The sequence below is a fragment of the Homo sapiens genome, chromosome 10, assembly GCF_000001405.40.
Source record: "Homo sapiens chromosome 10, GRCh38.p14 Primary Assembly".
NCBI lineage: Eukaryota > Metazoa > Chordata > Mammalia > Primates > Hominidae > Homo > Homo sapiens.
The window spans coordinates 97176226-97204074 of NC_000010.11; the positions used below are offsets into that span (position 1 = coordinate 97176226).

At 50.1% G+C, this 27849-nt stretch overlaps 1 protein-coding gene and 2 long non-coding RNA genes across 4 annotated transcripts in view, besides 6 other annotated features; 1 reads left to right on the forward strand and 2 right to left on the reverse strand.

Annotated features, from left to right (window-relative positions):
* Positions 1–9734, reverse strand: part of SLIT1 (slit guidance ligand 1) — a 187922-nt gene extending 178188 nt beyond the window's left edge. Inside the window, exon 1 of the mRNA NM_003061.3 lies at positions 9253–9734. Within this exon, the coding sequence (NP_003052.2) occupies positions 9253–9449 (197 nt within the window). The 5' untranslated portion in view covers positions 9450–9734. The remainder of the gene's footprint in view (positions 1–9252) is intronic.
* ARHGAP19-SLIT1 (ARHGAP19-SLIT1 readthrough (NMD candidate)) overlaps positions 1–27849 on the reverse strand; it is a 139632-nt gene that overhangs the window by 23184 nt on the left and 88599 nt on the right. The gene's annotated exons all lie outside the window — the stretch shown is intronic.
* Positions 9578–10078: an enhancer, noted in NCBI's record as "H3K4me1 hESC enhancer chr10:98945560-98946060 (GRCh37/hg19 assembly coordinates)". NCBI's record gives its function as "activates a minimal SCP1, AML or CMV promoter by ChIP-STARR-seq in naive and primed H9 embryonic stem cells {active_cell/tissue: H9 hESC(naive and primed)}" and the evidence as "EXISTENCE:reporter gene assay evidence [ECO:0000049][PMID:30033119]".
* Positions 10079–10579: an enhancer, noted in NCBI's record as "H3K4me1 hESC enhancer chr10:98946061-98946561 (GRCh37/hg19 assembly coordinates)". NCBI's record gives its function as "activates a minimal SCP1, AML or CMV promoter by ChIP-STARR-seq in naive H9 embryonic stem cells {active_cell/tissue: H9 hESC(naive)}" and the evidence as "EXISTENCE:reporter gene assay evidence [ECO:0000049][PMID:30033119]".
* On the forward strand, positions 19675–27496 carry LOC112268065 (uncharacterized). 2 transcript variants are annotated; one of them, XR_002957098.2, is made up of 3 exons: positions 19675–19858; positions 23035–23220; positions 27060–27496. It is a non-coding gene; the product is annotated as an uncharacterized LOC112268065 (long non-coding RNA). The 2 variants fall into 2 exon arrangements; XR_007062256.1 differs by lacking the exon at positions 19675–19858 and adding an exon at positions 21997–22079 and having other exon boundaries at positions 27060–27445.
* Positions 20108–20157: a silencer, noted in NCBI's record as "silent region_2667". NCBI's record gives its function as "represses an Ori minimal core promoter by ATAC-STARR-seq in GM12878 lymphoblastoid cells {active_cell/tissue: GM12878}" and the evidence as "EXISTENCE:reporter gene assay evidence [ECO:0000049][PMID:35858748]".
* Positions 20288–20527: an enhancer, noted in NCBI's record as "active region_3846". NCBI's record gives its function as "activates an Ori minimal core promoter by ATAC-STARR-seq in GM12878 lymphoblastoid cells {active_cell/tissue: GM12878}" and the evidence as "EXISTENCE:reporter gene assay evidence [ECO:0000049][PMID:35858748]".
* Positions 26186–26245: a silencer, noted in NCBI's record as "silent region_2668". NCBI's record gives its function as "represses an Ori minimal core promoter by ATAC-STARR-seq in GM12878 lymphoblastoid cells {active_cell/tissue: GM12878}" and the evidence as "EXISTENCE:reporter gene assay evidence [ECO:0000049][PMID:35858748]".
* Positions 26922–27521: an enhancer, noted in NCBI's record as "OCT4-NANOG hESC enhancer chr10:98962904-98963503 (GRCh37/hg19 assembly coordinates)". NCBI's record gives its function as "activates a minimal SCP1, AML or CMV promoter by ChIP-STARR-seq in naive H9 embryonic stem cells {active_cell/tissue: H9 hESC(naive)}" and the evidence as "EXISTENCE:reporter gene assay evidence [ECO:0000049][PMID:30033119]".

Here is a 27849-nt window from a genome sequence, read left to right on the forward strand (position 1 = left end):
CCTTCCTCCCAGGAGTGTTATGAGGAGTAAAAGAAGGAACTCAGGTAAAGCAGCTCCTTTGAGGCTGGCGAGAGGGAGGAGCTCTAAGCCACGACCACGACCACAGCCACCATCAAAACTCCCTCTCACCTCTCTCTGCCTCTGTCCTTCTCTGGCCCATTGCCAGCCCTCCCCATTCCCACATTCCCCAAGACCCCTGGCTCCCTCCTTCCCTCCCCAAGAGACTCCAGTCCACCTGCCTCTATGCTGCAGGCAACTCTCTCCTGAGCCTGCTCCCCCTCAGAGCTCCCATGCCTGTCCTCTCCTCTGCAAACTTCCTTACCACCTACTTGCTGCCGGCCATCTGCCTCCTGCCTTCCGCTTCTCCCAGGAAACTGCTCTGCCCACTTTACCAGTGACCCCGATCTCGAGTTCCAGAAGCTTTCCTTGGACCTCCTCCTCAGACAGACTGAATGCTGTCCACACTGCTAACCCTCCTCCTCAGACGGACTGAATGCTCTCCACACTGCTAACCCTCCTCCTCTTCACCAAACTCCTCCTTTGGCCTTTGCAATGATTCCTCGGCCCAGGTTCAAATCCACAAACGTGTAGCCACTGCTCTCCACTGTCAAACACAGGATAGGAGTTCCTCCCGCCTCTCCACTATCTCTTCCTTCAACACCTTCCCTTCCTCCTGCCCTCTAATGTGGGTGGGAGCTAATGTGTGTGAGTCCTCGAAGGATGTGCTTTCTTCTCCAGGAAATCCCAGCACCAAGCAGTATTTCTTAAACTGTGCCCTGGGCACTCCAGAATCCAAATCACCGGAATCGCCTTGCTGAAGAGCTACAGAGCCAGCACCTCTAGGATGGGCTGGGAATCCGCATTTTGTACCGGCCTCCCAGGAGATCCTTATTCCCACCAAAGTTTCTGTTCCACTGCCCTCATAGGTTGAAGCGCTTCCCCTGAGGTCCCCCCATCTCTCTCTCCAACCTGAATACTCTCCAGAGTAACCTTCCCCATCATGACCTCTGGGGCCATCTTTTTCACATAGATTTTTAGTGGCAATTCAAAGAAAACAGGCAAAAGCCAAATCCACAGCTTCTCCTCCAGGACCAGTCGCCCTTTCCAGCTTTATTCCTGTCCCAAGATCACTCTCTCAGACTCGAGCATCAGAGTCTGCCACGCCGTTCCCACTTACTCTCTCAGCTCTCTCTGCCTTGGTCCAGACCCACTTCCCCTCGTATCTTGGCCTCTGCAATAGCTTTGAATTCTATGACTGTAGTAGCTTCCTATGACAAATTACCATATGCTAGTGGCTGAAAGTAACACAAATGTATTATCTTTCAGTTCTGGAAGTTAGAAGTCCAAAATCAGTCTAACCATGTTAAAGTCAAGGTGGCGGCAGGACATTAACGGCGGATTGGATAAAGAAAATATGGTACATATACACCACAGAGTACTATGAAACCATAAAAAAAGAAGGAAATCAGGCCGGGCGCGGTGGCTCACGCCTGTAATCCCAGAACTTTGGGAGGCTGAGGCGGGTGGATCACCTGAGGTCAGGAGTTCGAGACCAGCCTAACCAACATGGTGAAACCTCGTCTCTATTAAAAATCCAAAAATTAGCCAGACATGGTGGTAGGTGCCTGTAATCTTAGCTACTCAGGAGGCTGAGGCAGGGGAATCACTTGAACCCGGGAGGTGGGGGTTGCAGTGAGTCGAGATTGTGCCACCGCACTCCAGCCTGGGCAACAGAGCAAAAACTCCATCTCAAAAAAACAAACAAACAAACAAACAAAAAAACAGATGAGGGAGAAGGGAAAGTTCTTTCTTAGAGTAGAAAGCCAACTAATAGAGAACAAATGATGGAGTTGCAAAATCATCAATGAATGCTAAAACTCGGGGGATGAAAGCTTGATGAGAAACAGAATATGTACCCAGCTTCAGACAATCCCCCTGACAAATTACCCGTTAATACCAAAGAAGAAAACAACTACCTCTCAGCAGAGAAGCCTGGCAGACATCAACTTATCAAGTAATTAAAGATAAAATCACCAATACTGGCACAAACTGACATCACGTGCCTTCTGACATGTTGCACCAGGAAGGACATGGAGTCATTATTTGGCATTCCCTGCAAAAATGCATAATCTGAATGTAATTGTGAGGAAAGATCAGATGAAGCCAAACTGAGGAGCGTTCTGCAAAATAACCGGCCTGCATACATCAATAATGTCCAGGTCAAGGAAAACAAAGAAAGGCTGAGGAGCTCTTCCAAATTAAGGGAGACTAAAGACCATGACCATTAAATGCCATGTGCGATCCTGGCAGGATTGTGGACCTGGGAAAAAATAGCCATGAAAGACATTATCAGAGCAATTGATGAAAACTGAATGTGAATTCTGGAGTAGAGAATAGTTTTGCACCGATGTTTAATTTTCTGATGTTGATAGCCTTGTGGTTCTTAGAAAACACCCACCAAATATTTAAAGGAAAAAAGTTTCAACGTCTCCAAGCTATTCTTAAAAGGTTCAGAAAAAAAATTACCTATGAGTGTGTGCGATAGAGAGAAGAGAGAGAGAGAAAGTGTGTGTGTGTGTGTGTGTGTGTGATTATGATAAAGCAAATTGGATTGTGATGTTTGCACAAGTCCATAAGTTTATTAAAAATCATTTATTTGTTTTTTAAAATTTAACAAAAAGTTAAATTTCTTTAATCTCCTCTCCCAGAACTCACCAACACAAATCGTCGCCCCTCAGGGGGTTTTGCTTCTCACTCTCCTTCCCAAATACATGGCACTTACCTTCTGAATGCTCCCAAACTCCCTTACCCTCGCTTCGCCTCGCTACTTAACCTAAGTCTTGCCCAGCCTTTAAGCCCCAGTTCAAACCCTACCTCCACAACACAACAACAATTCAATCCCTCCTCCCCATCTCACTCCCATCTAGCGACTCTCATCAGCCTCATCTCCATGCTGATGGGGCATTGACTATGTGCCAGGCATTACTCTATTCTAATTATTAATCTTTATTCTTGCTGCCTTCAGCCAGCTTTCCCTAGCATTAACCTCTTTCATAACCATGGACAGTTATCAAAACTAAGAAATTAGGTGGGCATGGTGATGCATGCCTGTAGTTCCAGCTACTTGGGAGGCTGAGTGGGAGGATCACTTGAGCCCAGGAATTTGAGACCAGCCTGGGGAACATAGTGAGATCCCGTCTCAAAAAAATCATCTCATCTTAACTTCACAGCCCTATGAGGTAAATGCTGTCACTGGTCCCATTTTACAGATGAGGAAGTTGAGTCACTAGTGAATTGTCTAAGATCTCTCGGTAGGTGATGAAGCCAGGATTCAAACTGGGCCATTCTCGTACTGAAGCCTGGGCTGGTAGCCACTGTGCTCCTCGTCTCTATGGACATCCTTACACTTTTGTTCTTTCTCCCTCACCAGGCCAAAAGCTCCTCAGGCCTCTCTCAACGACGCTATGCACCCTGCAGGTGCCCAACAGCTGTCTGTCCGCCACAGGCTGGGTTCCAGAAAGGAGAGGAGGGGGTCATGAGCTCCGTCAAAAAGAGGAGCCAATTCTCCACACCCTCCCCGCCCCCCGGCACAGCCCAGCTCCCTGGCTACTGCCCAAGGCCTGGCCATCATCTGCTCTGGGTAATAAGTATTTGTATGGCGATAATTACAGGATTTGGGAAGAAAATCCCATTAAGCAAGAGCCCCGCCGAGCTGCTAATGCCGGCACAGAACTGGAGGCGGCAACTCCGCCAAGCACCCGTCTGCTCCCAATAATGCAGGAGCCGCCCAGCCCCAAAAGAGCACGGCCGCCCCTGCTGGCAGCCTCGGGCAGCCTGGGCCACCGACAGCCCGCCCCGCCCAAGAAGGGGCACCGAGGAAGATCAGCCCCTCCCCTTGTGCTCCAGGGTTCCCAGCGGCTGCCTGATGGCGAAGAGGAGGGCCACCCTGGGATCCAGCGTGACGCCCAAATTTCCTTCACATCCCTGCAATTCTCTGTCACCTTAATAACAATAATAATACTACCATTTATTGAGCACTCGCTGTCTGCCAGGCCCTGTGCAAAGCGCTCCTGCGAGCATTACCGCATTTAATCCTCATGACCACCCTTTGGAGCAGGCCCTATCATCATCCCCACTTTATGGGCAAGGAAATGGGGGTTCTGAGAAGTCGCCCTTTCCTCCAGAGCACTTATCCCAGCTTGCAGTTATGTGCTTATTCTTATACTATGTCATTCATCTCTATCTCCCCTGCTGGACTAAAACTCGGGTTTCTGTTTCTGTCCAGCACTATTCACCCGGCACAATGCAGACGTTCAATAGATAGCTATCTGTTGAATGAGGGAATTAAACCCCATCACTTGCCCAAGGCCCCGCCAGCTGCTGAGTGGCAGAGTGGGGCTAAAAACCTAGGCAGTCTGGCTTCACAGCCCTCCCATCACGACCATCCGCCCTGCATACAGTCCCCACTCTGTCTCCACATCCCAAGGGAAAGGGGCAGAGATGCCCAGGAAAGGTAAATGAGCGCTCTAAACAGACAGACTGCGCTCTAAGCAGACAGACTGCAAGAGAGGCAACACTCAAATCCTTACCTCCCGAGCTCTCTTCTGCCCCACCCAAACCCTCGAGCCTCTAGCTTGAGCTTCCCAAATAATAACAATAATATCCTAATGATTGAATCACAAAGCATTTTCACAACTGTAGCATGAGTGAGTGCACAGGCCCTTTGAGGTAGTAGGTGTTATCAGCCCCAGAGGCCGAGAGAAGGGCGAACACCAGCCACTTACCAAGCGTGGCACGCTGCCTCACTTACTCCTCACTATCAACCTGCACAGCTGTCGTCGTCCCGTTTTACAGATGGGGAAACTGGGTCTCAGAGCAGGGAGAGGCACGGCACGGGGGTCCTAACACCAGTCATTCAGAGCCCAGCAATAAGCCAGTGGGCCAGTGACCACACCAAAGCCTAAGCAAGCAGGAGACTCTTGCCCTGCAGGGAGGCACCTCCCCTACACAGCGCAGGCCTCTGCTGCAGGAGACCATGGTGGCCTGCTCAGATCCAATCGGGCCCTGATGGCAGATGTGGCTGCAGTGGCCCCTGACCTCATTTACCAAGGTCACCATCCAATTATTATTTGGAATTTCAAACAGGCTCCCCAGAGGATCAGCCTCAGGTGCCCTGGGCAGCCTTCCTTATGCGTGACCACTCAGCCCTGTTAAATGGGACCTCTAGCTCAGGGAGTTGAGTCTAGAGAGGGCCTCCCAGGCCTCTACAGCAGGCATGGAGATAGGGCAGGGTGGACGAACTGGCAAGGAGGGAAGGGCACATAAGGAGGACGGCAAGGCTGGGCATGGTGGCTCATGCCTGTAATCCCAGCACTTTGGGAGACTGAGGCAGGAGGATTGCTTGAGCCCAGAAGCTTGAGACCAGCCTGGGCAACATAGCTAGATCCCCATCTCTACAAAAAAGGAAAAAAAAAGACCAGACAAGCAGCAGAATGTGCTGGGCCTGGAGGCAAAGAGAGAACAGTAGGCCTTCCCAGAGGCCCTGCCTGCCTCCCTCCATCCTCGGACAACTTACCCTCTCTGCACAAGGGGAACCTTCCACAAACCTCAAATACCCAGGATGCCCAGGGCTGGGGGAACCAGCGATGTCCACACATACTGCACTCTCCTGTCACACTCTCCTGGACACTCAAAAGATTTTTTAAATTAAAAACCAAGTCCAACTGAAAGTCAAGGTCGTTGTGGAAGAAAAAAATAACTTAATGGTGACCATGGCTGGGTCTCTCTGCGCCTGGGCAGTACAAAGAAAGGAAGCTTCCCGGGCCGCCTCCGCCACCTCTCCCAGCCCTGGCTCTGTATTTTAACTGTTCATTACAGTGAATTATTTAGCATCCCTTCCCTGCCCAGCTGACCAGCCCCACAGCCCCTCTGGCTGAACCAATTTCCTCAGCAGCTCTGGGGCCTACCCAACCTCTTTCCAGAAGTCCCCACAGCAAACCAATGACCATTTCTTTCCATTTCGGGGGACAGGCCTGGACCCAGAGTTATAGAATATATGATCATAAAGTTGCTGGGCCTCGCAGGCTGCCGCAGAAACTGCCCAAAGGACAAAAGGCAAATGCACAGCTGCAGTCCATAAAAATTTCACAGCCTCAGAAGAAGCCACTGTTTCAGGCTCTGATACTGCACAACACTCATATTGATTAGAGAGAGCATTTGCCACAGTTATTTTGAGTCTGCCTGGGCTCTCACCAAGGCCTCTTTCAAGATGTTCTTTTCCTCTTTGAGCAGCTCTTTCACGGGCTGCCTGGAGAACAGGCGGGCTCCCTGCGCTTTCCCAGTCCAGGAAGCTTTGCCCACATGGCAAAGATCAGACCTGCTCCACTTCCCCAGGATAACTCACCCCTGGCTTCCAACTAGGAAGTTCCCAGAGGAAAAGTTCACATATAGAAAGTCTTCCTGACCCTTCCCAACATCTCTTTCCAGCCTCAAGTCCCATCCCACCCACTGGCCACTGGCCAGAGCATGTTTCAGCCCCAGGGACAAGCTGGTCCATCTGCCCATATCGGGCCAGGCATGCTTACACCCGCAGGTTTTTGGCTCATACTCACACCTGCTGGCTTTTTGCTTATGCTCACGCCTGTAATCCCAACACTTTGGGAGGCGGAGGCAGGAGGATTGCTTGAGCCCAGAAGTTTGAGACCAGCCTGGGCAATATAGCCAGATCCTCATCTCTACAAAAAAGGAAAAAAAAAAAAAGACGTCTGCAAGAAAGCAGGCCCCATGACCTGACAAGCAGCAGAATGTGCTGGGCCTGGAGCCCAGCTGTTCCCTCTGCCTAGATTGCCTGCCCTCTGTGCTTGGCAAAATCCAAACCAACCTTGATAAAGTGGCCCATCCTCTGAGAAACCCCTTCACCCTGGAAAAGGGCTTCTCACCCCAGTGTTCCCACAGTCCGTTCCCTGAGGCTGCCTGGCCCTCTCCTGAGAGCTCACCATTAGAGGTCCTCTGCCCAGTTCTCTAGACCATGTGCCCCTTGAGGACAGGGATGGGCTCACTCCCTGCTGACGCCTCAGCACCCAGGGCAGTTCCTGGCTCCGAAACATTTGCTGAATTAAAATAATGAGATTCCCCTCCCTATCCTATCATAATAATGGCTCTCGTTTAGCGAGCATCAGAAGGTACCAGGCAATTCCCATACATGATCTTCCATCCTCACAAGAACCAGAGACCTTATGTAGCCTCAGCCCCATTTTCCTGATGGAAAGCAACTAAGGTTCAGAGAAGTTAAGTAACTTGCCCAAGGTCACACAGCTAATAGGTGACAGAGCTGGGGAACCAGGCAGTATAGCTCCCAGAATGCCACCTCTTTCCTCTGTACTAGGAAATTTCATTTTCATCTCACTCTGATCACAAAAGAGCTAAAGAGTTCATGGAAGTCTTAAACACTAAAGGTGGTGAGAGAGTAAAGAGGGAGGAGATGACTTTAAGACTCAAGATTCAAAAGCAAAGAAGAAGGGCTAATGTGTCTTAGATCTAGGCTGCAACCAGGGTAGCAGCTTCAGGAGAAACTCCAGTGGACAAGGCAAGGGGAGCAGGGAGCAGGTACAGAGGGGACAGGCATGGAGGGTGACCAGGCCACTGCGGGGGTCCTCTGGACAGATTTCTGACCCTCAGATCCTCTCTGGGTCCACACAGGATAATGCACACGCTGCCCACAGAAACTCAGTTTGGTACCACCTCTCCCCAGCCCTGTAACACACAAGCATTCACACACACACATACACATGCACCACACACACACACACACACACACACACACACACACACACACTTCCCATCTAGATTGCATCTAGATTGCAAATTCTCTAAAACCTCCACGGGAATTTTTCAGATGCAGCCAAGAAGAGTCTGGGGCAAATGTGTGCTCACTAATTGCTGGCCTTGGTACAGAGTCTGATTCGGGAGACAGCTCTCCTCAGGGTCAGATTTCTGTCTCTGACCAGCTGGGGGCCATGAAAATGTGCTCGAAAGTTATCAAAATATGCACACCTTTCCTGAGAGCCACTGCAGTCACCGAGGAGTGTGGGAAGGAGGAGTAGGTAGGTTTCAAAGGAGCCAGCAGCCTTCTCCAAAGCCCTGTTCAAAAATCTCCTGGTGTAGTCACCTCTGCGAGCAGTACAAAGGCCCTGCATGTGACCAAAATCTACACACACACAGCCCATTACGGGGACTCTCATGGCCTCACGCTATTAAGGTGGCCCCTTAATACTAGGAATTCACACAGAAACACATTCTGCAGGAGAGTCACAGAAAACAAAGTATAAAGGTCTGTAAATACACACACTCAAACACACCCAAACACACACACACACATTCTACTAGCTTACTGGGTCTAGAAAAGAAAAGGATCAAGTTTCCTCAAGAATTCACAAGTGAGACAGAACAGGGGAAGAGAAATGCTATTTTTTTATTACTTGTCATGGTCAATATCTTTAACCTTGGGCCCCCCTCTCCAAGCTCCTGACTTCTTGGCATTATCCACCGGGTTCTCCATCCAAGACACACCTGCCCCTTTTCGGGTGCTGAATGTTACATACCCCAAGCCCCATACCCAAAGCCCTCAGGTCCCATTGTCTGCCTGTGTTGGGGATGGCTGGGTGTGGAGGGAGGCGGGTGAGTAGGGGACCAACGCGTGGCACCTGCAGGGGAAGAATTCTCAAGGCTCTGGGGCAAACAATGGAGAAGAAGGGGCAGACCAGAAACTTCGCCTCCATCCCACCCTGCTGCCCTTCGTCAGGAGCAAGCTCTGGGAGCGGGAATCTGCGCAGCTGGCTCAGAACGCGGCCGTAGCCCCATGTGCCCAAAAGGAGACATTGTGCTTGGCGAGTGTGGGAAGTGTCCCTCCTGGGTGCAAGGAAGGCTTTCTGACACCAGTTCGCAGGCACCCTGGAGGAATAAAGCGCTGGCGCAGTGAGGAGGGCCTGAGGGTGCGGAGTGCAGGGTGCAGGGTGCAGGTGTGAGGACGGAAGCTGACAACCCCGCCGAGGGCCCTTTGAATCCCAGGGATGGGGAAACCACGGCGCTCCTGGCTCCTGGCTCGGGAAAGACCCCGGCAGGCACTGACCCGTCTGTGGGCTGCGGAGCCCGGACGGGCCCCAATGGTCCTGCCCCCACCCCCAAGTCCGGAATTGCGTCTGGGTGGGAGGGCAACCTCGGAGCCAGGGAGCCAGGGGCGGGGACCATACTCACAGGCGCTCGGTGTTCCGAGGTATATTCTTGGGAATGGCCTGCAGCCCCGTGCCGTGGCAGTCCACCGTGGTTCCGGTGCAGGTGCAGAGGGCGGGGCACGCCGAGGCACCCAGGCGCCACGCGGCTGCCCACAGCAGCAGCCAGAGCTCCGGCCGGACCGGCCCCGCCGAGGACCCCCACCCGGGAGTCAGCGCCATGGTGCCCTCACAGCGTCCCGCTCGCGAGCCAGACGGCAGCAGCCGCTGACCATCCCCGTCCGGGGCCGCCTCCAGGTGCAGTCCCGGGGCAGAGCCACCGAAGAGCCCGCGGGCTTGCGCGCGGCGCCCCTGCGGGCTGGGAGGCACCTTGCTCCTCCAAGCGACGGCGCCTGTGCGCGGACGGAGGGAGGGCGCCTTGGGCGGAGGGGGCTCGGCTCCTCTGCCGTTTCGCCGCCTGCGTCTCCCTCTCCCTCCCTCCAGCTCCCAACTGACTGCTGCGAGGAGGAAAATGGGCAGGCCCCGCGCGCGCACGCACCCTGCGCACACACCACACACACACACACGATCACACACACACCCGCGCGCTCGCTCCCACCCGGCAGTCATCCATCAATCGAAAAGCACACATCCAGGGCCAGGCTCCTCCCCGCCCTCCCCCGCCGCAGCCCCCCTCTCCCGACGACCACTCAGCGGCTGCAAGCCGCCTACAGTTTCAAAGGTGGAACCTCCGAGGCGCCGTCAGCGGGCACGGGGCTGCGGGGGATGGGAGAAGAGGGAAGGGGGTGTGACTCGACCCGCCAAGTCCTGGCTGTACACACACACACACACACACACACACACACACACACACACACACGGCGAGGATGCGCACATTTAGACGCACGCACCCCGGCACCCGCGGCCCCAGCTGCTAGTCCAGGGTGGGAGGGAGATCTTATTTTGCCGCTTGGACGCCTTCCCGGGGAGTCAGACCCGTTTCCCCCCATCCCCCGACGGCAGCAGCGGCCTCTCGGCCCCACCCGACTCGCTGTGTCAATTCTTGGTTAAGGGAAACCCTGTGCCTGTGCCCCAGGTAGCATCCTCAAGCCACCAACCTTACTTAGCCTGGACTTTGAGGATGGAGCTTTGTCGGGGGGGAGGGTCCACGAAAGCGCTAGGCGGAGTACAGTCTCCTTCCTACCTCAATGCACCCACTTCTCAGAGGGGAACAAGCTAGCCGCATGCCCAGGATGAGAATGGCTCTGATTGGAACACTTGCTCAGCAGGGCGTATTTGTACCATACAGTTACACGGGCTTCTTCCCCCGTTGTAGAAGAGAGGGACAGACATTAAGGGGACTTGGAAATCTGGCAAACGTCTTCCTCCACTCACACCAGCGTTCCTCCATTTCTGACAGGTGGAAACAGATGAAAATGAATATTCCATCTTGACATCAAAGGAGACAGAGAGGGCTGGCATAGCGCTGGGCGGCCTGCTTGGGAGAGAACCCCACAGGCCAGCCCCGTCAGACCCAGGCCTCACACCCGGCTGGGTAGGGACCTTCGTCACCGTAAGGCATGTGTGGACGTGGGTGTGAACGGGACATCCAGGTGGGGAGAGAATTCTCCTCAACCCCAGAAAAGACGAAAGATCTCCTCAACGCCAAGGACAGCTGTGGCTCGCTGGGGCAGTGTCCAGCAGTCGGGGCCTTGACGTGAGGCTGCTTGGCAAGAGGACACAGCTGGGTAGCCCGAGAAGCACCTCCCGTCTCAGGAGCGGCCTGGGTCCAGACACAGCATGGACGCATTTGGTGGGGAGAGTGTCGGGCAGGGTGGGGATAGGGGAGGTTGATAGACTCCACAAGGTTGAAGCCTTATCACCCACCAGGTACCCAAGGCTCAGGCGTTTTCTTTGCTTTTCTTTTCCATGTTGATGAGAATTTTGCAGTCTCTCTACTGTCATAGCACAGTATGTTACAATTTAGGTGGCTGATTTTATGGGCTTTTGACAGTTCTTTTAAAGTTTTCACACATCCCTGTCCATGACCTCCATCCGGTAAGTGGGTTCTTGAGCATAAGTTCAGTTTCTCAGGGGGCAGGGCTTTCTCAGGGGTGCCTGTGTGGTGGGATATTAGGGAAGCTTCCCACAAACCAGGCCGGAGTCTGAGAGGGCTGCCCCTGCCCTGCAGCTCACCAGCTCCTGCTCCATGGGGCCCCAGCCCCTCTATCCATGCTCTCCCCGCAGCCTCAGAGTGACATTCCTCCATGCCCGCTGCTTTGTTTATCCCCTCTTAGTACCTGCAGCTGCTTCTCCACACCCCTGCCCACCCCCTGGCATCCTCACTCGCTCACCCAGACACACACCCCAGCACCTGGCACTTAGTAGGCCTGTCACAGACAGCACTCAGGCTGTTGAAGATGTCTCCAGCCTTCTGCTCCAGCAGTAGCTCCCTGGTCCCAGGACCTCGGAGGGCCCCTTGGAAGCCAAGACCCATGTGGAGAAGGGAGAGAGTGTTGATTAGCCAGGCGACATGCCCCTAGGTCCTCAGAGTGACAGAGTGAAGGGGTATGAGGAAGGGTGGGAGTGAGCAGGGGTGCAAGATCAGCCCTGCCTATGGCTCCTGAGAACCAGCCCCTGCCCTAGAAGCTTCCAGACCAGCCTGGACAGTGAATCCCAAGCAGGCCCTGGGCTGAGTTGCTGCTGCCTGGCAAAGCCTGGCTTTTCCTCTGAAGGGAGGGAAGGAAGGAGCCCCCCAGACCCAGGACAAAGACTCCCCCAGCAGCCCATCACAGGGGGCCCTGCCCAAGCAGCGGGCAGCTCCCCAGCTTGGCTCCTGTCCCTGGTTCCTCCACCCCAGAACCTGGCCAGCTCCCCAATTCAGGAGGCGGCTCGCCATGAATGAGCGCAGCTCATTAGCGTGCCCGGCACATTTACTTGTTAAACAACTGCCTGGCTGGCCGCACACCCCCAAGCCCCACTCTGTTTTTTCAATTTCCTCTCCCATGCCCCTCCCTCTCTTGGGTCTCCCTACCCCCTCCCTGCAGCCGGGCCACCTGCTCCCGCTGCACGGGTGGGGAGGAGGCAGGCCTGGCACATTGCTTCTGCCAGGAATACTCCACCAAGCCTGTCCCTGCTCACCTGCCACCAGCAGGGCAACCCCCTGGAAGGGAAATTTGAGGTTGAGTCTCCCCAGCCCAGTGACGTGAGTCCCCTCTGAGTCCTCTCAGCCACATGTGCTGGGAGTTGAGGGCCACTTCCCCCGTGTGACTCAAGAAGAGAGCGTTCTCTTTATGGCTTCTGCACAGAGTCCTCTCTCCCACCGCCACCAGCCCCTTTTGGAGCACCAAGAAGCGGGAGAACCTGGGTGAGGCTGAGGAGCATTGTGGGATGGATTTCCAAACTGCAAAAAGGAAAAGTGAGACAGAATGCCTTCTAAGTAGACATCTGATAAACACCACTTACGGAGTATCTGTGTACTACATGTGCTGTACTGGAACTCAGCAATTCAACAGGGGACAAGAATGGCCCTGGCCCTCAGTGGGCTCACTGTCCGGTGGGGGCACAGAAACAGGAAGCAGGAAAGCATATTCATTTGGGTGTCAGCGAATGTGGAATTGCAGAGAACCCAGAATGAGGGCACAGAGTGGGGCTGGAAGGCTCCCTGGAAGAGGAGGCACTTGAACTAGGTCTTGAAGGATAAATAGGCATTCTCTGGGCAACAAAACAGGAAAAAAGGCTCTCTCAGCAAAGAGAAGCACTTGAGGCAAGTCACACAGACTGGGGGCAGCATTCTCAATGGCTGAGCTGGGGCACGTCCAGCAAGGCTGGATTGTGGCAGGGGGTTCAGGTGGGGAGCACAGATGGAGGTTACAGAGGTAATGAGGACACACCCCAGAGGCCCTGGTGCAGCCTTTCTCTGGCTTCACTGGGCTTTCAGCATCACCTGGCCTGGCCCTGTCCTCAAACACATGTCTATATATGCATGGGCTTGGAAATGCACCACCTCTGGAACCAGTGTCTCTGGAACCTGGTGCTTCCAGGGAGGTGACTTGGGAGGTAGCAAGGAGAAAGTTGCAGCAGATGTTTCTTTTCTACTGTTTGGGAGGTTTTTTGCTTGTTTTTTGAGATAGAATCATGCTGTGTTGCCCAGGCTGGAGTACAGTGGCACAATCATAGCTCACTGCAGCCTCCAACTCCGGGGCTCAAGCGATCCTCTCGCCTCAGCCTCCCAAAGTGCTGGGATTACAGGCGTAAGCCACCACACCCAGCCTTTGTTCGGATTTTTTACCCTGTGTGGTAGGAGCTAATTTCCCCCTACCAATACATTTTAACCCCCCTGGGGTGCTTATCATACATGCTGATTCCTGTGACCCACCCCCGATCTTCCCAGTCAGAACCTTCAGTGTTAGCAAGCTGGGAATGGGGGGTAGAGGCGGTGCTAATTCTGATGCAGGTGATTCCAGAGACCATGCTCTAAGAATCAAGGCCTGGTGTGCTGAGTTATGAGTTTGGAATTAGACTGAAAACTCTGGGGAGCCATTGAAGGAAGGAGCCTGGCAGGGACAATGGATCTGAGGCCCACCTGCCTTCCTCATCTCCAGGTTCCACACACCATTAGCAAGGATGAGGCATGTGAAAGAGAAAGATGGTCAAGGGAGAGTGGCAGGGGAGTACAAGATGTCAGAGCTGGAAGGGGATTAAAAAATGATCAAATCCAAGCACCAGTAAACAGTTAGAAGCCCAGAGAAATGAAGCAACCAGCCTGACCTCACAAGGCAAAGGAGCTGCAGAGGTGGGCCGTGAATGAGGCCACACACCCGGGCAGAACACAGCATCCAGTCCATCCTGGGCACTCCTCCTGGCCCTGCCACCACAGGGGAACTACGAAAACAGGAGTCTCTGGGAAGTCTGTGCCAGCAGGACTCATGATATCTTAGCTTTAGTCTCTAAACCCCTGGCTATTGTCAAATTTGGAGGAGGCTGAATTGTTGGAGGCTCTCAGTGGCAAAGCCTACAGCAAGGACAAGCTCCTAGACTAAAGGTCAAGTGGCGTTTATAGCCCAGAGGCCATCATAGGCATCCAAGATAACTCTGGTAAATAGAAGCACTGGAAGCAAGAGAGAAGCAAAGTGGGTGCTGGGGTGGGAGAAGAGGAGGAAAAGAAAGGCAGAAAGCAGGCAGACAGCCTGCACTGACAGCAACCATTCATCTATTCATCAGACATTGATTGCATGCCAGCTGAGAGCCACGCACTGGAAATAGAAGAGATCTGTGCTTTGGGTTCACTGGGTTTCCTGTATCTTGTTCACAGTTTTCATCAAATTTAAAGTTTTCAACCATTATTTCTTCACTTTTTTTTGTTCCCTCCTCTCTTTCTTCATTTTTGGGGGCCCCATTTATACATAATTAGGCCATTTGGAGTTGTCTCATAGTCCATGGATGGATGATGCCCTGTTCCTTTTTTTAGCCTTGTTTCTCTCTCTCTTTCGTTTTGGTGAGTTTCTCCTGGTGTATTGTCGTGTTCATTATCTTTTCTTCTACAGTATCTAATCTGCTGTTAATCCCATCTGGTAATTTTTTTTTTTTTTTTGAAATGGAGTCTCACTGTCACCCAGGCTGGAGTGCAGTGGCACAATCTCAGCTCACAGCAACCTCCGCCTCCCGGGTTCAAGCGATTCTCCTGCCTCAGCCTCCCAAGTAGCTGGGACTACAGGCGTGTGCCATCGTGCCTAGCTAATGTTTGTATTTTTAGTAGAGATCGGGTTTCACCATGTTAGCCAGGCTGGTCTGGAACCCCTGATCTCAAGAGATCTGCCCACCTCAGCCTCCCAAAGAGCTGGGCTTACAGGCCTGAGTCACCGTACCGGCTCCATCTGGTACAATTTTTATCTCAGACATTGTACTTTTCATCTCTAGAAAATCTACTTCGGTTTTTTTTTTTAATCTTCCACGTATCTTCTTAACATGCTTATATTTTCCTCTACCTTAGTGTACATATGGAATATAGTTGTAATAACTACATTACCAATTCTATTATATGTATCACTTCTGGGTTTGAAATGATTGATTACTTTTCTTCTTCATTATGGATCATATTTTCCTACTACGTAGTCCCCCCTTATCTACATAGGGATACATTCTAAGACCCCAGGTGGATGCCTAAACCAAGGATAGTACCAAACCCTATTACATTATGTTTTTCCTATACCTACATACCCTTGATAAAGTTTAATTTATACATTAGGCACAGTAAGAGATTAACAATAATAACTAATAAGAAAAATAGAATAATTATAACAATATACGATAATAAAACTTATGTGAATGTCATCTCTCTAGCTCCCTCTCTCTCAAAATATCTTATTGTACTACACCACAGATAACTGAAACCACAGGAAGTGAAAACATGGATAAAGGGGAGCTACAGTACTTTGTACCCTGGTAATTATAGATTTCATGCCAGACATTGTGGATTTTGCCTTGCTGGGTGCTGGATATTCTTGTATTTTGAAAAAATACTCTTGAGCTTTGTCCTGGAACAGAGTCAAGTTACTTGGAGCCAGTTGGATCCTTTTGAGGCTTGCTTTTAAGCTTTCTTGGGCAGGACCAGGACTAGCCTGTGGTCGAGGGCTGATTTCCCTACCCTTCTGAATGGTCTCCCCAGTGCCCTGTGAATTAGGAGGCTTCTGCTCTGGCTGGTGGAAATGCCAGCTAATCCCAACCCTGCAGGAACTCCAAGGATTGTTCTGCCTGCTCCTTTTGGGTGGAACTTTCCCACCTTCAGATAGTTTACACACAGGCACTGATCAGTTCTCAGCTGAAGACTAGGGGAGGAGAGGGTGGCACAGCAGGGAAGAACCATCTGCAGATCTCTAGCTGCTCATTCTCTCTGTGCAGCAATTTCCTCTCCCGTCTTCCATGGGAACCTGAGCCACCTTGGCCTCCCTGGACTCTCAGCTCTGATTCCTCAATTCAGACTGATGCTGGGTTCCACCTGGGTCCCCCTCTTGCTCTGTGGCCTGGAAACTCTCTCCACGCTGTAAGCCAGGCAGTTACAGGGCTCATCCCATTTGTTTCCTCTCTCTCAGAAATCACTGCCCCACACTACCGGTTGTTTAGTGTCTCATAAGAGTTGTTTCCATTTTTCCCTGGCTTGTCAGTTGTTTAAGCCAGGAGGGGTAAAATTGTCCCATTATATCTTCTTGGCCAGAAACAGAAATGTGGAAGAAATTTTTGACAATACTTCAAGCCCTCAAAACATGCTCTGTGTGCTGGGGAAAGACAGTCAAACAAACAGACAATTACATGACCCTGACAAGTGCCCTGAAGCTGGCCAGAGAGGAAGGGGCCTCAGCCACACAGGCTTCTCGCAGTTTATTAAGCACATAATGCTTGGTGCAGGCCAGTCCCTACGCTAGAATGGTCTTCCCACGGCTGGTGTGGCTCTCTACACCCTTCAGGTCTCAGCTTAAGCAATAACTCCTCAAGAAGCCTTTCCTCATGCGGGGTTAGGTCAGCACCCCCATCCCATCGAAGGGGAATAGGAAGTCATCTGGGGATTTAAGCTGAGGCATGAGATATGATCTATGTTCTCTCCTTTAACTGTCTTCTGCCTCAGCCCCTTCTGCCTCCCATGGCAGGTAGGAAGGAAGAGACCCTGTTTGGAAGCCCATCATAGAGCCAAACCCTTCTCTATCATATACCCTTCTCCATCACATCCCCTTCTCCATCACATCCCCTTTTCCATCACACCCCCTTCTCCATCACACCCCCTTCCCCATCACACCCACTTCTCCATTGCATGCCCTTCTCCAACACACCCCCTTCTCCATCACACGCCCTTCCCCATCACACCCCCTTCTCCACCACATCCCCTCCTCCATCGCATCCCCTTCTCCACCGCATCCCCTTCTCCATCGGAGTCAGCCTTCAGTCCTCCAAAGTCCAAGAAGATGACAAAAATGCAGCATCAGGGAGCTCATTAATCCATCTGCATCTTGGGGGCCTTGTCTGTAAAGAATAATCCTACCAACTAACAAACACTTCTATTGTACCTATAAATTCCAGGGGCTCATACTCTTCCAAGACCTTTACCTATTAAATCATTTAATACTCCCAAGAAACTTAGAAGGAGCTGGAAGCACAACGACGTTTGGGAGTTCACCCAAGGTCACACAGCACGTAGGTGGCAGAGCTGAGATGTAAAATACCCATTTACTTAAGATCTACCTCCTGGGGCCAGTGTGGGGATTGAATGGGTAGTACATAGGAGAGTGCCTTATGGGCTAAGCGCAGTGGCTCACGCCTGTAATCCCAGCACTTTGGGAGGCAAAGGCAGGCAGATCACTTGAGCTCAGGAGTTCAAGACCAGCCTGGGCAACATGGCGAAACACTGTCTCTACAAAAAATACAAAAATTAGCCGGGCACAGTGGCTTGCGCCTGTAGTCCCAGCTACTCAGGAAGCTGAGGTGGGAGAATGGCTTGAACCCATGAAGTCAAAGCTGCAGTGAGCCGTGATCGCACCACTGCATTCCAGCCTGGGCAACAGAGCAAGACCTTGTCTCAAAAAAGTAAATATATAAATAATAATAAATTTGGTCAGGTGCAGTGGCTCATGCCTGTAATCCCAACACTTTGGGAGGCCGAGGCAGGTGGATCACCTGAGGTCAGGAGTTCAAGACCAGCCTGGTCAACGTGGTAAAACCTCGTCTCTACTAAAAATACAAAATTAGCCTGGCGTGGTGGTGCATGCTTGTAATCCCAGCTACTTGGGAGGCTGAGGCAGAAGAATCACTTGAACCTGGGAGGAGGCAGAGGTTGCAGTGAGCTGAGATCACACCATTGCACTCCAGCCTGGGCAACAAGAGAGAAACTCCATCTCAAAAATAATAATAATAATAATAATAAATTTAAAAACTGAAAAAAGAAAGTGCCTTATGCTGCATGTACAGGCATGTGGTTAGTGTGTTCATTTTTTTAAAAAGCCAAAATTGGTTATAGGGATAACTTAGGCAACAGGTCTGTCTAGAGAAAGTTCCGTTTGACAAACATTATGTACAAGTAATTTTAGAGGATTCCTTCTTCTTCTTTTTCCTTAGCTCCTTCTGCAAATGTGTGTGTTCTGGGTCTGCTTGTGTAACTGACACGAAACCCAGATATTCTTAGACCTTTCCTTTCCCTCACAGACTGTGGGTGGTCTTCTCATCGCAAATGTAGTTGTCCTTCTCAAAATGGCAAAAACCTAGATTCAGCAGCTCCTAGCCTAAAAACATTCAATGAACTTAAAAGTAAATCTAATCTAATTAAAAGAGAATACATCCAAATGTTAAATCATTGGAATTATCAGTGATTTTTAGTCTCTTATTTTATACCCTTCTATATTTTCCATATTTTCTACAATAAGCTACAAAAAATTTTTAGAAATAAAAATGTAATTACCATTATAGTTTGAATAAAATTACCACTAAATTTCGTATACGAAATTTAATGATTTTATGTGAACACACTAAATACTAAATAACACATTTTATATTCCTGCACTGAGGGAGCTGCTCTAATCTGCAAAGGGTGCTTAAAAAATAAGCGACGAGCTGGGCGCGGTGGCTCACGCCTGTAATCCTAGCACTTTGGGAGGCCAAGGCAGGCGGATCACCTGAGGTCAGGAGTTCAAGACCAGCCTGGCCAAGATGGCAAAACCCCATCTCTACTAAAAATACAAAAATTAGCAGGGTGTGGTGGCAGGCACCTGTAATCCCAGCTACTCAGGAGGTTGAGGCAAGAGAATTGCTTGAACCCAGGGGGGCAGAGGTGGCAGTGACCCAAGATTGTACCACTGCACTCCAGCCTGAGCAACAGAGAGAGACTCTGTCTCAGAAAAATAAAATAAAAAATAAGCGACAGTTTGTATGAAAATATCTAGAACAGACAAATTTATGTAGACAAGGAGTAGATTAGAGGTTGCTAGGGGCTGGAGGGGGATGGGAATGGAAAGTTATTGTTTAATGCGTACAAAGTTTCTGTTAGGTGTGAGGAAAAAATTTTGGAAATAAATGGTGATGATCGCACAACACTATGAATGCAATTAATGCCACTAATTGTACATTTAGAATGGCTAAATGGTAAATTTTGTCATATGTATATAATTAGCACAATAAAAAATAATAAGTGATGGCTCAGCTAAGGGAGAAAATGTGGTCCAGAACGCGGGTCCTCCACTGGTCTTTGTCTCCTGCTGCCAGTGATCCCTAGCATTAAGCAACTGCTGCCCAGGGAGTTAAGAAACTTGTTCATCATGCCCCACTGACAGGGACAGGGGATCTTACCCCAGGCAGTCTGAAGCCAGATGTCACACCCTGAACCTTTTTACTGCACAATGACAAAACTGCCTGCTGTTGATGTCACATCTGGAATGATGTCACACAGGAATGATCTGCAGGTAACGCTGTAAGGGAGTTGCTGTTAACTGTTTAGAGGAGAAACCGGAGCCTTGGAGGAGTTGTCGACTGCTGCTCGGTTATGCAGCCAGTGGGTGGCAAAGCCCCCTGTTCACGCCCAGGCCTGGCACCTGCAAAGGCCAGACAGCGGTGTCAACACTGCTGGCAGATTTAAAATCACCGTCGCAATACTGAAGCTGGGTCAGGGAGCTGAGGTAGGCCAGGCTGGAAAGGCTTGGAGAGGTTTCCAGGGAGGGCAGGATGAGTTTTTTAAATCGACCGTTTGGTGGCTGCTTTGGGCTTCCGCTGCCAAGCCAGTTTGGGTCCTTGGAGGATCTCTCATCCTCCTCCATAAACATTCACCAGCCCCGGCCCGCGGCGTCGGGGCAGCGGCGCGGAACCCGGAGTGCCGGCTGGGTTCGCGGACACTGGCTCCCCGGCGCGGAGGCGCGGCTCTGCACGACGGGACTCCCGGGGGAGGGAGCGCAAGGGGGCCGCGAGGACGCGCGAGGGCGGGGCGGGGCCATCTGTACCGCCGCTTGGGGGTGGGTGCGTTTGCTAAGAAGGGCGCCAAGCAAACGGAAACCGCGCACCTCTACTGGATCAATCAAAACAGCGCCTCCGGACAAACGGGAATGGGGGCGGCGCAGAGGCCCTTCGGGAGGTTTCAGGCACCATCTGTGAGGGGCGCACCCAGGGAAGCTCTGGGTTTGTCCACTCTGAGGCCTGTCCAGTTGTCCAACCACCCTGTCCTCAGCGTCGTTTGGCGGGGACAGATGCATAGCCCCCCGGCCCAGTACAGCTGGAAGCGACTTCGGAAAGAAAACCTTGCAATCCCCCTATCTTACAGATAAGGAAATAGCGCCCCTAGAGGAGAAGCAGCTGCCCCAAGGTCACAGAACTGCTGGGGGCAGAGCCGAATGCCTTCCCTCCATCACCCCGCTTACATATTGAGATGAAGCCTTTGTGGTTCTACCTGCCCACGTATCTGTCAGCTTCTGTGCAACTCATGTGTGCAGTCTAGTCCCCAGCGCAGTCCCTGGAACCTAGTAGGTGCTCAATAAATGCTTGTGAAACGCAAACGAACGGAAATGGGACTAGAAAACCCAGGTCCTTAATCTGGGTTTAGATTAAGACCAGACAGAATTTAGAAATCCAAGAGTACTGACCATTGTTTAGAGTCAGAGTAGCTGGAGGCTGGATGAATACACCCAACCCAGGGACGCCCGACCGCTGCCCACGCAGCTCCACTCCTGTCTACAGTGAAAAAAAGAGCCACTCCCTCCCTCCCTTCGTCATCTCCCCACTCCTTCCCAAGGCTGAGGATGAAGATATCCTCTGAGGGCTTCGCCTTAAAACCTTAGAGCTGGAAGGAAATTTCCATCGCCTCTAGTTACAGTCTATGTAATGTTTTCTTAAATGATTTTCATTAAGTTCATTCAATATTTATTGTGCATCCACCATGAACAAGGCCCTATATTGCTCAAACAAGACATGTGATCCTTGTTAAAATCAAAAGCAAATTTACAAGTCAGGAGTCTTCTACAGCCAGAAGTATTTAGTGGCCAAACATAAGTATTCAATACAGACTATAAATACTGCAGCTGTTATTTCAAAAAGCAAAAGCCCATTTTAAAAGAGGTTAAAAGAGGTCATTCTTGGAGAAGTTTTTTTCTTCTTGATTGGAAAAAAAATTTCCAGGCATAGGGAACTGATCACTGGACTGGGGATGTGTCCCCAACTCTTTTCCTAGCCAATACAGATAAGATCTGCTCTGGGACAACCAAAGAAAGCTAAAGAAGACATGATATCTGGCAAAACAAGCCTAAACAAACCTCTGGAAAGTCAAGAAAGAATTGGGGGGAATGCAAGATTTATTAGAGCCTGCAGGAAACCAAAGTTCAATTAAGTAATTGAAAATATAGAGGCCGGGCATGGTGGCTCATGTGAGTAATCCCAGCACCTTGGAAGGCTGAGACAGGTGGATCACTTGAGTCCAGGAGTTCTAGACCAGCCTGGGCAACATGGTGAAACCCCATCTCTACAAAAAATGCAAACATTAGCTGGGTATAGTGGCACACAACTGTGGTCCCAGCTACTCGGGAAGCTGAGGTGGGAGAATTACCTGAGCCCAGGAGGTCAAGGCTGCAGTGGGCTGAGATCTCGCCACTGCACTCCAGCCTGGGTAACAAAGACCCTGGATTAAAAAAAGAAGAAAAAAAAATATGAAGTACTATAAAATATGAAAATAGGGAAAGGTTAGAGAATGAGCTGCCTGGTTGTATTAGGTGTTTGCTTTTCTTTAAGACTTGCTCTAAGTTGATATCATATCTCAGAGTCAGAGTCTCAGTTTAACAGATATGTGTGTACCTGGAGCCCAGCACGCTGTTTTACATGCAATGGAAGCCGTTCACGTTTGATGCAATTCAAGGCTTGGTGAGTCAAACTCAGTTACTTCACGAGCTAAACGTTTACCTACCCTGTGACTCTGCACTTTTTCTCCTGAATATATGTATACACACACATATATATTTGTACGTATATATATTTGTACATGTGTATATAAACATAGATGTATAGATATAGATATATATACACACACAACAGAAATGAGCGGTTAGGTCCACCAAAAGACATGTAGAAGAATATTTATGACAGCCTCATTCAGAATAGCTCAGACTGGAAGCAGCTCAAATGTTCATCAACAGGGGAATGGATAAACAAATTGTGGCGTAGCTATACAATGGAATAATGAGCAAGAACAAGCCACTCAACAACATTAATGAATTACACAGGCATTATGCTGAGTGAAAGAAGCCAGACACAAGAATATATATTGTTTAATCCAATGTATATGAAATAGAACACAAGCAAATCTAATTTATAGTGACAGAAGTCAAAATAATGGTTGCCTTTGAGACAGCAGTAACTGAAAGCCGGCACAAGGGGACATTTTGGGCCTCTGGAAATGGTATTTTGATCTAGGTGGTGGTAATGTGTGCGTGTGTGTATAAATATTTATACACATATATACACGTTTAAGCATAAGTATGTAAACATACATCAAGTTATACACTTAAAATCAGTGCACTTTATGAAGGTTATGCCTCAATAGAAAACAGGAAGAAATCGTTTCGGCCAGGATGACAAGTGCATAGTGGGCAAGCTACCATTCTCCCCTCCCCGGCCCGCGGCAGATGTCGCTAATTAATCACCACACTCCTTTCCTTTGAGCTCGGCTTCAGAACCATCTCAATCCAGTGCTCCAGCCAGCTGTGCTTTGAGGCAAAACTCTCAGCTTTCCCTCATGTATACACAAGTATGTTGATTAAGATAATTAATTAATCATCTTACCATCTTAATTATTAATTATCATCTTCAATTTGTTAAGCCACACTCTGAGGAAGCCTGACTCTCACTATGGACTGGTGGCAGCTTCCCCAAAGTCTGGGTTCAGTTCCCAGGAGGAAGTGGCTTCTGAAGAGCACATTTGGATGCGGGAGAGTGACAGCGGGAGGGGCACCCCACAGGAAGGAAGCCCCTTGACAGAGGGCTGGCAGATTAACGCAGCACACAGGTAAGCATGGGACCCAGGAAAGGCTCAAGTTTGGGCACATTTTCTACCAAGTGGAACTAACTGGTTTTTCTTGACTGAGGAGAGGGAAGAGGAGAGAAGTTGAGGCTGGACTGCAGGGACTGGCACCTCTTGATTTGCCCGAGGTTCTCTGGCACCTGAAGCACAGCCTGCCCCTCAACAGTCACCAAGGCACTGTGTCTTATCGGGGAGGATAACGCTTCCTGTGGGGTTCATCCTGCACAGCGTACAAAATCTTCCGCTTCACTATCACGCCATCATGAGATCTGGATAGGGTGGGAATTAGCCTCTCCACCCCAAACCCCTGCCTCATTTTAAAATAAGAAAACTGGCCGAGCGCAGTGGCTCACACCTGTAATCCCAGCACTTTGGGAGGCCGAGGCGGGTTGTTCACTTGAGGTCAGGAGTTCGAGACTAGCCTAGCCAACATGGTGAAACCCACCTCTACTAAAAATACAAAAATTAGCTGGGCATGTTGGCACATCTGTAATCCCAGCTACTCAGGAGGCTGAGACATGAGAATCATTTGAACCTGGGAGGCGGAGGTTGCAGTGAGCCAGGATCGCGCCACTGCACTCCAGCCTGGGCAACAGAGCCAGACTCTGTTTCAAAAAAATAAAATATGCTGGGCGAGGTGGCTCACGCCTGTAATCCCAGCAACTTGGGAGGCTGAGGCAGGCAAATCATTTGAGGTCAGAAGTTCGAGACCAGCCTGGGCAACGTGGCGAAGCTCCATCTCTACTAAAAATACAAAAATTAGCCAGCCATAGTGGTGCGTGCCAGTAATCCCCAGCTACTCGGGAGGCTGAGGCAGGAGACTCGCTTGAACCCGGGAGATGGAGGTTGCAGTGAGCCGAGATCATGCCATTGCACTCCAGCCTGGGCGACAAGAGCAAAACTCTGTCTCAAAAAAAAGTAAAATAAAGTAAGAAAACCAAGGTTCAAAGAGGTCGTGTGACTCATAAACACCCTGCTAACGAAGTAAGGGATTCCAGACTCAAACGCAGGTCTGTGTCATACAAAGCCCGTGCTCCTTCTGTGCCTTATCCTTTCATTTTAGTTTTTATTTTTCATCAAAGTTATCCATGGACATAAATGGACAACTTGTTCTGCAAGATTTTTTATGAAAATGGCAGTTCCTCGTCCCCATTTCCCTCTCCTGAAAGTAACAACTTTCACCACTTTATTTTTTATTATTTATTTTACTTTTTTTGAGACGGGGTCTTGCTGTGTCACCCAGGCTGGAGTGCAGTGGCACAAGCACAGCTCACTGTAGCCTTGACTTCCTGGGCACAAGTGATCCTCTCACCTCAGCTTCCTGAGTAGCTGTGACTACCGGTGCATGTCACCACGCCTGGCTAATTTTTGTATGTTGAGGGAGATTTGGGGTTTTGCCATGTTGCCCAGGCTCGTCTCAAACTCCTAGGCTCAAGTGATCTGCCTGCTTCGAGGCTGCAGTGAGCTATGATCATGCCACTGCATGCCAGCCTGGGCAACAGAGGAAGCCCTTGTCTCAAAAAATAAATACAATAAGATACAAAAAAGCGGTATTGCACTGGTTATAGTTTAGCTTCTCTCTACTGGCTGACTGCTAAGAAAGATGTTGCAGCTAATTAATGAAAAAGGAATGATCAAATTAGAGTGATACCATTTTGTACCCACCAATTAATGAATGAATCTAGGCATTGTGTATCAGCAGCTGTGAACGTCACTCCCTTTACACATACACACACACACAAATAATACATTATGTGCTCCTCTTGAGGAAGGAACACACCATCACCTATAGTTGTCAAAAAATCAAAACCTGAATTTGATCAAGCCTCTAGATTTACCAATTTACTGGAAATACAGACATATTCCAGAGATATTGTAGGTTCAGTTCCAGACAACCACAATAAAGAGAATATTGCAATGAAGCGAGTCACATGAATTTGTTGGTTTCTCAGTGCATATAAAAGTTATGTTTACCCTACACTGTAGTCTCTTAAGCATGCAATTACTATTGTGTTTTAAAAGGCAATGTATATACTTTAAAAATACTTGGCCGGGCACAGTGGCTCACGCCTGTAATCCCAGCATTTTGGGAGGCCAAAAGTGGATTACCGTAGTCACAATTTAAATTTACTTTTAGAATTATTTGATTCATATCTGCCTCACTCGCTAGGCTTTAAGCTCCAAGAAGGCAGGAGTCATGCCTGTATTAGCTCGTCATTTTATCTCCTGGTTTAGCACATGCCTGGCGCATTGCAGGTGCTCAGTGAAGAGAAACTGAATGAACTAAATATTAGATTGACAAGAGAGTTTGGTCCTCCCATCCCAGCTGCCACCGTTTGCATGCTGTTGCCCAAGGAAACCTGCCACCTTCTGCAGCCGTTAGACCCCTCCTAGAGGAGCCACCTCACCTCCCTCCACCTGCTCCCTCCTCTTCACCCTCCTTGCCTGCTGCTCAGAAGCTCTAGGCAACTGGCTGGGTACAGTGGCTCACACCTGTAATCCCAGCACTTTGGGAGGCTGAGGCAGGCAGATCACCTAAGGTCAGGAGTTCAAGACCAGCCTGGTCAACATGGTGAAACTCCGCCTCTACTAAAAATGCAAAAATTAGCTGGGCATGGTGGTGCCTATAATCCCAGCTACTTGAGAGGCTGAGGCACGAGACTTGCTTGAACCTGGGTGGCGGAGGTTGCGGTAAGCTGAGATAGCGCCACTGCACTCCAGCCTGGGTGACAGAGTGAGACTCCGTCTCAAAAAAAAAAAAAAAAAAAAATGCTCCAAGCAACTAGAATAGACCTAGAAGAACTGAGGCAGCCATGCAAACCTGGCCCCTCTGGCCCCACTGAGAGCCAAAACCTCCTCCGCAGGTCCCTAACAAGCCAGTGAGTCTGGGTCCTAGGTCCTGGGTACTTCCCCTAAGGCCTGGAACTTCCTTTTTTTGAGACAGAGTCTCACTCTTGTCCAGGCTGGAGTACAGTGGCAAGATCATGGCTCACTGCAGCCTCGACCTCCTGGGCACAAGTGATCCTCCCACCTCAGCCTAGTGGTTGAACTACAGGTACCCGCCACCAGGCCCAGCTAATTTTTTGTAGAGATGAGGTTTCGCCATGTTGCCCAGGCTGGTCTCAAACTCCTAGGTTCAAGCAATCTGCCCGCCTTGCCCTCCCAAAGTGCTGGGATTTACAGGCATGAGCCGTCATGCCCAGCCTGGCCTAGAAGATTCTTAAAGACGCATCACCACAGTCATCTGAAGAATTCCCTCCACCTAAGAACCTGCTCCCCCGACTCTACCCTGCTGGATGGAAAGAAGGCCTGGGCACGTATTCGATTATCCAGTGAGGACTTGCTGAGCGCCTGCCATGGCCAGGCTCTGTGTGAGATGGTTGGGGAATGTCAGTGAACAAACACGGCAGACACAGTCACGCTCCCCTTGCTCCTTGCTCACCAAACAAATTTCATTCCATCTCTCACCCTGGCCCCTTGGGGTCTTTGTTGTTTAAGCCAATCATGGTGTTATATTCCCTTATAAATGCTGGCATTTTTTTGTAGAGATGGGGTTTCGCCATGTTGCCCAGGCAGCAAGATGAAAAAGTACTTGGCACTACTACACTATACATTTTAAATGGTTAAGATGGTAAATTTTATATTGTGTTTCTTACTACAATTACAATTTATTTTAAAAGTTTGCACATGGGTAAGACTAAATTGTAGAGTTTAAGAAGGCACTCTTGGGTGAAATTATAAAGAAATGCAAGGAAGTTTTGCTATAAAAGTAGCTGAGTTTCTCTTTGAGTATTTCGCTCTAAGTACCACCATTGTCTGTCCAGTCAGACAAGAGGACTCATGCTGTCACACCCTGAGTGCCCAGTGAAGCTGGAGCTGAACCCCAGGCCATCCTGTTTCCACTACACCGATGCTAGCATTCACAAGGGAATAGAGCACCATGACTGGCTTAGACGAATGACAATCCCAGCCAATAAAACTTGACGAGGCGTCTGCTGGGAGCTGCTGGGAAGGTTTTCCTCACCCTTACAAAGGGACATGAAGAAGAAACACCTCCTCCTCAGGCCAACATTGTGTGATGCCTGGAGCTGGGGCAGCAATTTTGCAACCTCGAGGGAAATGACTGCCACGGTGAGAATGGCAAGGCTGAAAGAAAGAACCCAGGTTATTGGTGACAATGCTGAGCTTCTGGATTCACCACCCTGGACATGCCCTTCCCCTGATATTTTTGTGGCCTATAAAGATGAAAGCCCTCATTGTTTACACTGGTCCTGGATGAGTTTTCTATTACTTGCAACCAAAAGCCACCTACAAGGGACAGCTCACGCTTCCTGAGCAACTGCTGGCTAGCAGGCACCGAGTCACAGACCTTAGTACTCTCTCATTATTCCCACTCACCGCTTAGGAGCTGGAAGTCATGACCCCATTTTATAGCTGAGGAAGCTGAGACCCAGAGATCAACAGGGACTCGCTGTGTCACACACTGAGTGCCCAGTGGAGCTGGAACTGAAGCCCAGGACATTCTCTTTCCACTACACCAATGGTGGTGATAGATTTCATCACTATGCCCATTGGAACTCTCCGCTACAAGTGCAAGGAAGGGGAACTAGGCCA